This window comes from Homo sapiens, chromosome 20 (assembly GCF_000001405.40).
Source record: "Homo sapiens chromosome 20, GRCh38.p14 Primary Assembly".
NCBI lineage: Eukaryota > Metazoa > Chordata > Mammalia > Primates > Hominidae > Homo > Homo sapiens.
Window position 1 is genome coordinate 62,432,547 of NC_000020.11, and position 8,148 is coordinate 62,440,694.

The 8,148-nt window shown below is 56.6% G+C and overlaps 2 annotated features.

The window, feature by feature from the left end:
• Positions 5,114 to 5,614: an enhancer, noted in NCBI's record as "H3K4me1 hESC enhancer chr20:61012716-61013216 (GRCh37/hg19 assembly coordinates)". NCBI's record gives its function as "activates a minimal SCP1, AML or CMV promoter by ChIP-STARR-seq in naive H9 embryonic stem cells {active_cell/tissue: H9 hESC(naive)}" and the evidence as "EXISTENCE:reporter gene assay evidence [ECO:0000049][PMID:30033119]".
• Positions 6,909 to 6,958: an enhancer, noted in NCBI's record as "active region_18202". NCBI's record gives its function as "activates an Ori minimal core promoter by ATAC-STARR-seq in GM12878 lymphoblastoid cells {active_cell/tissue: GM12878}" and the evidence as "EXISTENCE:reporter gene assay evidence [ECO:0000049][PMID:35858748]".

Below are 8,148 nucleotides of genomic sequence, written 5' to 3' on the forward strand. Positions count from 1 at the left end.
TTGGGCATCCAAGCACCCCTCTGCAGGGAAGCCCTCCATGACTGTAGGTAGGTCAGGCCTTTTCCCAACAGGCCTGTAAGATGCAAGTCTTGGGTAGAAACTGTGTATTGGCTCAGGGGTCTTCAGGGTGCTACCTTCTTGAGACAGGAAGTGTTTGCCCGTTCATTGCTGTCTTGGCCCCTGGCATATGGTGGTACTTCATAAACATTTCTTCCTTTCTTTTTCTCTGAGGCAGGGTCTTGCTCTGTTGCTCAGGCTGAAGTGCAGTGGTAAGACCATAGCTTGCTGCAGCCTTGAACCCCTGGGCTCAAGTTATCTTCCTACCTCAGCCTCCTGAGTAGCTGGGACCATAGGTACACGCCACCATGCTTGGCTAAATTTTTAAAAATGTTTTGTAGAGATGGGGGTCTCTCTTTTCTGCCCAAGCTGATTTTGAACTCCTGGGCTCAAGCGATCCTCCCGCCTCGGCCTCCCAAAGTGCTGGGATTACAGGTGTGAGCCACCGTGCCTGGCCCTGGTGGGTTGTGTCTTACCCAGAAAACTCAAGTGCTAAGAGGCAAAGCCTAAAGGTTCCTCTGGGCTGAGACGGGATGGGCCCTGCTTGGTGAGAACTGGGGAGTGGTTTAGGGGAGGGCTGTGTTTCCTAAAGAGCCGACAGAAGCCTTTTACTCTGGCTAAACTATTTGTTCCTATACCTTTGTTAAATATTATGAAAATGAGGGTACCTGTGGAATGGGGACCCTGTGTGTGGAACTGGGGGGATGGCTGGGAGGGGTCTTCCCAGGCCAAGTCCTGGTTGGGCTCTTGCCTGGGATGTGTGGGGTGGAGGCTCCGGGGAGGGGGCAGAGGTGCCTGGGGGTGAACCAGCGGGTACCCCGGGCCATTTTGACCTCTGACCTCAGCTTCCTTTTTGAGACAGTGGGGCTGCCTTGGTGCCTCTCTCCTGGAGGGTGTGGGTTAAATGAGAGGGGTTCTGTGCCAGGGCCCAGGGCTGTGCCACTCACTGAGGGTCCTAGCGACACTCCTGAGATGGTTCTTATTTTGTCACCATTTTCCAGGGCAGTGCCAGCCTTGGCAGACGGGCCGGACAGAGGAGGGATGATGGCTCAGGCTGGCAGGGGCTGCCACGGGGCAGCGATGGCCACCTCGAGCCTGGCCAGTGCTTCTGGACTTCCTCTCTGCTGACTTTGTTCCCTGGCTAGAAACAGTTGTGGCAGCGCTCCCAGACCGGGCGTCTGCACGGAGTGGCCTCAGCTTCCTTGAGCTGTGGGAATTTAACGAGAGTAAAATGGGACCATAAATCTCTGTCGGTCGGGATAACTTGATCCGTGATTTTGGAGGGCAGGCCGGAGCAGGGACAAGGAGGTGTCTGTGATGGGAGCGATCCCCGGACTGAGCTGGGCTGTCTGCTGGCACGTCACAGATAATAAAACCGCGTCGTCCTGCAGCACACGGAGACTGTGTCAGATCGAGATGTCATAACCTGTGCCTTGTGGCCAGGAGCCTGGTGTCGGGGAGGCACGGTCCATACATCACAGATCCCACGCACATCATAAAGATACATTAATGGTCTATGTGTCTTTAAAGAAATACTAATATTGTTGTTTTATGAGAAACTAGAGTTGAAAATATTAAAAGTCAGAATTTTATGGCCTAAAAGAAAGTTAAATGATGAGGATGTGGGAAGGGAGACTGAAGTATCCGTCACCGCCCGAGCCAGAGTCCTGGATGGGGACATGGCGGGGGAGGGGCCGCCTGGCTTTGATGAACTTGGCCAGCTCTGGCAGCCTCTGTGTGAACCTTCGGCTCAGTTAGAAGCTTCCTCCTTGGGAAGGGTTTGGAAAGCCGAGATAGAGGACGAGGGCATTGGGGTTGTCCAAACAGTTGCATGGCTCGGCAGTGGGACACATGGCAGGAACAGGGCCTCCAGGAAGCCCAGGCCCTCCTGTTTTGGGGCATGATCAGGGAGCGTGGATGGGGACACCCAGAGGACTCGGTCTCACCCAAGCCCTTTCCAGAAGGAAATCCTCCTGGCTTGCCACATGCTCCTTGTCGGATGACAATTTCCTCTGGTGCAGGTTTAAATTTTTATGTGACAGATCGGCTTGAATGACCCTTGGAAAAGGAGCAAGTGAAGGGGCAGTGGAAGGCACCGTGGATGGCACCGTGGATGGCACCATGGATGCCTGGGGTGTCAGGGGCGAGGTCCTGGCCTGAGCCATGCAACCACATGTGGGGCCGAGTCCCCCAGACCCAGGGACCAGCTCCTTCCACCCTGGAATCTGCGTGCAGCAGGCGCTGATGAGCGTCTGTGGACGAGGGATGGATTGACCTGGGTGAATGCGCCTGTGGGCGAGGGATGGACTGATCCCTTTTCTTCGCTGGCTGTGCCCCTTACCCACGGCTGTGCTCTGTGCTGGAGTCAGTGGGGAATTCGGGGCCTGAGGGCTCTTTGCAGCTCTCTCTTGCCCCATTGTGCCTGCGTGAGGACCCCTGGGACACGGGCACACCCAGGGTGAGGATCTGCCAAGGCTTTGCTCAGGGTTTAAGATGCTTATTACTAAGGTGAGATTTCCATGAAATAAAATCACTCATTTTAAGGGAGTCAGTTCAGGGGTGTTTAGCGCATTCACTCTGTCATGAGCCAGCACCTTGACCTAGTTCCAAAACATTTTCCTGCCCCCAAAAGGAGACCCTGTGCCCATTAGCAGGTCCTCCCCATCCCTCCCTCAGCCCTGGCGACACTGCCCTGCTTCTGTCCCCGGATTTGCCAGCTGGGTGTTTCGTGTCACCGTATCCACGCCACGTGCAGTCTCTTGTGCGTGGCTTCTTTTCCTGAGCACTGTGCTTTTGAGATTCACCTCCATGGTAGCTTGCACCTGTGCTTCGCTCCTGTTAAGTTCTGGGCTGCATGGACGGACTGCAGTGATCTGCTCATCCGCTGATGGGCATCTGGGTGGCCTCCACTTTTGGCTGGGAAGAGGCTGCTGTGGGTGTCCAGGCACACTCCTGCCTTCGGCTCTTTTAGGTGTTTTGCTCAGGATTTGAGACACGTTTTCTCTCCCTCAGAGGAGCACCTGTTGAAGAATCATGACCTCTATCGAGCATTTACCTGGTCACGGACATTTTGCTGAAGAATTCACAAGTTCATATAAGGACACGCTTCATCTCAAGTGTCCAGTTCAATGAGTTCTGACAGATACGGACAGTCGTGTGACTCCAGATCACAATGTAGGACGTTCTGGTCACCACGGGCTCCTGGATGCCTCTTCCTAGTGAGTTTCACCCCATGCCCTGCTTTCTATTGCAGGAGATTAATTCTCTTATAGGATTTTGTATAAATGGAACCACACTGAGGCGGGAGGTGGGACTTGACCCTAGAGACAGGGCTGAAACTCTGGACCAGATTGAAGACTGGCTGAGACAGGGAAGAGGCATCTCTCCATAAGATACCCACCAGTGCCAGGCCAGTTTACCATTGCCACGGCGACACTTGGGAGTTACTCCCCCTTTCCATGGTGATGACTTGGAAGTACCACTCTTTTTCTAAAAATTCAGAATGCAGGTATGAATATGAGTGCAGCACTGCCTCTGAGCAGCTGCTCTGGGCTCGCTGCCTGTGGGGGAGTCCTACCTCACAAGGAGGGGTCCCTCTGCTGCTGCTGTGCACGGCCGCTTCAATCAAAGCTGCTAACGCCACCGGCTCACCCTTAAATTCTTTCCTGGGCGAAGCCAAGAACCCCTGTGGGCTAAGCCCCAATTCTGGGGCTCACCTGCCCTGCAGTGGTGCTCTGTGTGGCTCTGATGTCTGCCAGAACAATGGACTGGAGGCCTGTGTGTGTGGCACATGTGCCTTGTGTGGGTGGCACTCTGCTCACCCATTCACCTGCAATGGCCGTCTGGGTCATTTGCACTTTTTGGTGATTGTGAACGGAGCTGCGATAAACATCCGTGTGCCGGTTTTCCAGGAACCCAGGCGCGGATGGCCAGGCCCTGTGATAAGCATCTGTGTAACTTTACAGGAAACTGCCCATCTGCTACCCACGGTGGCCATGCCCTTTCATTCCTGCCAGGGCACAGGAGCGTTCCAGTTCCTCCACGTCTTTTCCAACACTTGGTATTTTCTGCCTTTTAAATTTTAGTATTTCTTGTTGGTATTTGTCGCAATTTAAAGATCAGAAAATGGAGGCTCAGAGAGGTGAAGTGAACTGTCCAGGCTGCACAGTGGGGAGGGCAGGGTCAGAACCTGCCCATGACCTTTGGACTGTGACCCCACCTCTCAGACAGAGCTGGTCTGTGCTGGCCCCTGAGGCCCCAGACTGACCGCAAAGGCCTTCACTTCACACCACAGCCCCATGCCCCAGTGCCCCCTAAAGCCCTCAGTGGCCCCCCTGCCTCCAGCCCATTCCTGCCCTTCTCCTCCCTGCTCCAGCCATGCTGGTGCCTTCCTCTCCCCAGGGCCTTTGCACAGCTGCTCCTGCTGCCCCTCTCCCCTGGTTTTATCCTTCCCATGAGCCGGGAACAGCTCCCCTTGGCCAGCATGTGCCCTCAGCATTCATGCAGAGTGATGCATTTGAAATGACAGCAAGTGGCAGTTGATACCTTTCTGTCCTGAAAAGCGAGACCCAGGAGGGCAGAGACCAGGCCTGTCCTGTTGGCCCTGGGGGCTGTGCCTGGCAGCTGGTTGTTGATTTGGGCAGCACGAGTGTGGCCGTGAACACCCTGCTGAGCCTCACCCCGTCTAGAGATGGGAGGAAGCCAGGGGTCCACCTCCAGAAAAAGGCGCTGGAGGAATTATTAGTGGACACTTCAGCCTTGAGGAGAAGCAAGATAACCAGGACAGCATTTCCACCCCAAGACTGGGGCTTCGGGGGGACATCCTGGGAGAGACCCCTCTGAAACTTCAATAGTGCCCCCGCAGGGTAGACAGGGACCCCACCTCAACTATGGGCACTGGGGGTCTTGAGGTAGCCTGGATGGTTCCCTGGCCTCCCCAAGGCCGTGGGAGGAAGGCCCTGGAGCAGGGGTCGGCCGTCTGCTACTGGGGACCAGGCAGGTCACTGCGCTCTGGGCGACACTGCCTGGGCTGACGCTGAGGTCTGTGTGGTCCGTTACAGTCCACGTTGCTTTCCTCAACACGCACAGTTACATAAACGATGATAACACTTCATAAACATTTTTCTAACATGCGGAATGTTTGACATGAATTTCAGCTATTTTAAAATGAATAAACAATTGTCAATGTCCTGGCCGACAGGGAGCAGAAGCCACAGTGCTTTATGGAAGATGAAAGGCAGGAGAAAGGTCTCTTCTTTAGAGAAGAGGAAGGGAAAGAGACCCATCCTGTCCCTCTGACGGCAGGGCCTTCGGAGAGCAGCCCTGGGCTCGGGCTGTGGGCGGAAGGGCCAGTGGAGTCCAGAGGCGAGCGCCCCTTCCCATAGCCACCGACTGCCCGGGGCTCAGCGGGCAGGCAGGGAGATGCCTCAGGACTCACGGGTGAGGGGTGTTGGGCGGGGGCCATATGGGCTTGTGAGCATTGCTAGCTGCCGGGCCCTGGCCAGCTGCCCGCCTCAGAGCTACAGCTGGCGCCGGGGAGCTGGCAGCTGAGTGCCATCCTTCCAAAGACGTGGTGCTCCAGGGCGCATGGCCCGTGACCACCACCGGGGTGTGGAGACACCTGAATGGAGTCCTCACTGCCGGCCCGGCCTGCGCTGCCTGCTCTCGGCCTCCCTGTGTGTCGCGTGATGTTGTGTGCCAGGGTTGGGCGGTGGCTGTGTGAGGCCTGTGAGGACACACGCAAATGGGAGAGGGAGTGTGCATGGTGTCAGCATGGGGCAGTGGTGCGGAGTGACTGGGTCAGGGGACCCCCACACCGGACAGCACTTCTGGGGCAGCAGTGGTGCAGGAGGGCTGCCGGGAGCTGGCAGAGCGTGGCTGGGGACAGCAGGGTCTTGGTGGAAAGGCCCCAGTTCCCTTGTGCAGAGAGAGAGGCCACCGCTGTCGCCAGGCTCTGGGGGGTCCTCATGAGGGCCCGGCCCCACCCTTCTGGGATCAGGTGGGGGTGTGGCCAGATTCCATTGGAAAATGAGGGTAATTCCACAGGAAAAGCCTGGCCTGGGTGGATTCGAGAGGTGGCGCTTCCTCGGCCTCTCCTGTTACCCTCTCTTGGCGCCACAATGCTGAAAGACACGCAGAGCACAGGGTGTTGGTGAAGCACTGATGTTTACCTGTGCTGTGCTGACAACGGCACACTCAGCTTTCGGCGTGACTCCCTCCCTACCCCAGGCTCACCGCTAGGGAGACGGTGGTTTATCCTTCTATAGAGGAAGATACTGAGGGTCTGAGAGGCACATAGCAGGGAGGTCACTCGTGTCACAGGAAGATATGCTGAAGTTCTAAGCCCTGGAACCTGGGAGTGGTCCCTTGATCCCCAGTGACCTCGTGTGGGCATAAGAGCTTTGGAGATGTGGTCAAGTTGAGATGAAGTCATGGAGGTCTGACCCACATGGCGGCGTCCTCACAGGAAGCTCACGTGATTGCGGACCCACAGGGAGCGCCTTGGAGAGGAGGCGCAGCCCGGAGTGAGGACGCCCAAGGCTCGCCAGAAGCAAAAAGAGTCTGTAGCAGGGCACCGTGTGCTCCCAGCAGCCCACACTTAAACATGCATCCCAGCATCTCACAACACCCCTGGAGCCTGTATTGGGGTGCATTCGTGGCCTGGCCCACACCTTGATATTGGGGTCCTGGCCTCCATAGCTGGGAGAATGAATTTCTGTTGTAAGCTGCTCATTTTATGGAGGCCTAGGAACCTGAAACCATCCAGAAAGGCACTCTATAGACATTCGTGAGAGAATGAGGAAGTGCGAAATCCTTCAGTGTGCTGTCTGCGTCCACCAGCCAGGACTCAGGACTCCAGGTGAACCTCACAGCCTGGTGCTTCCCAAGTCTTGTTTTGAGGCTCAGTGCTGAGCCCACAGGCACCCTGAGGCTGGGCTTTGGGCTTCTCGCTCCTCATGTCTGGCTCATGAGTTGTTCTCCAGGCCTTTCCTTGCTGGGGGCCACTCCACCTTCCCAGGCCTATAACTTCCAAGCTATGGGTTGGCCCAGCTCACCCTGACCTGCTCTCTCTCTCCCTCCCTGCAGGGTGGGATGCCGCTCCTGCTCTGCATCAACTTGCCCTGCCTGCTCCTCCTACCAGCTCTTCCCAGGGTGGCCTCCAAGCAGGTGTTCAGCCAGAATATGGCTAAGTGGTGTGTGCAGCTGTATCCACCAGCAGGGCCTGGCTTGAGGACCCAGAACCCTGGCCCCACACCTGTGAGCTGGAACACCTGCACAGCAGTGCCACATGCTACTGGGGCTGAGGGTGCAGACACTGTCAGGCTCCCCCCAGGTCCTTGGACCCCTGTTACTGGGTTGAGGCACGCATGTCTCCACAGCTGTGTGCACTCCAAGCAGCCTACCCCTAAGTGCACCCCAGCAGCCCACACCTGTGCCCTGAGCAGCCCACACCTGTGCCCTGAGCAGCTCACACCTGTGTCTCCAGCAGCCACCACCCGTCACTTCTGAGAATTGCTCTAGGAAACCAGAGCCACCTTACCAGGAAGGGCCTGGGAGTTTGTGTCTTCTCATCAGCCCCCAAGGCAGCCCATAACCAATGGCTGAGCAGTGTTGGGGTAACACTCGGCCCCTGCCTCTGAATGGGAGAACCTCTGTGGTGCAATTCATGCTCCAGGGCTCCTCGCTGGAGCAGACTGAGGCTGGACGCCTCCAGGACCCCATTCTTTCTCAGCCCTCCCTACCCTGCCCTGCCTGCCTACCCCGCCCTTCCTCCCTCACCTTTCTCCTGAATGCAGCCTCAATGTGCATTCTAAGATGCTTGGTCTTAGGCTCTGCTTCTGGAGAACCCGACCCAGCAGGACAGAGGTCCCAACCTGGGTAGACACCACTGTGATGGATGAGTGTGCGTTCATTGTGACGTTCCTGGAGTTGTGATTGCTTTTTAGTTCCACGCGTTTCCCCGGTCAACAGAGGCTGAGCGCTCAGTGCCTGCCCTGTGGGGTCGTCTCCTAGAGCAGCAGCCACATTCTGGAACAGCCTGGCTTTCCTGCTGGGAAATGGGGTGTCCAGGGGTGTGGACTTTGCCTGGTT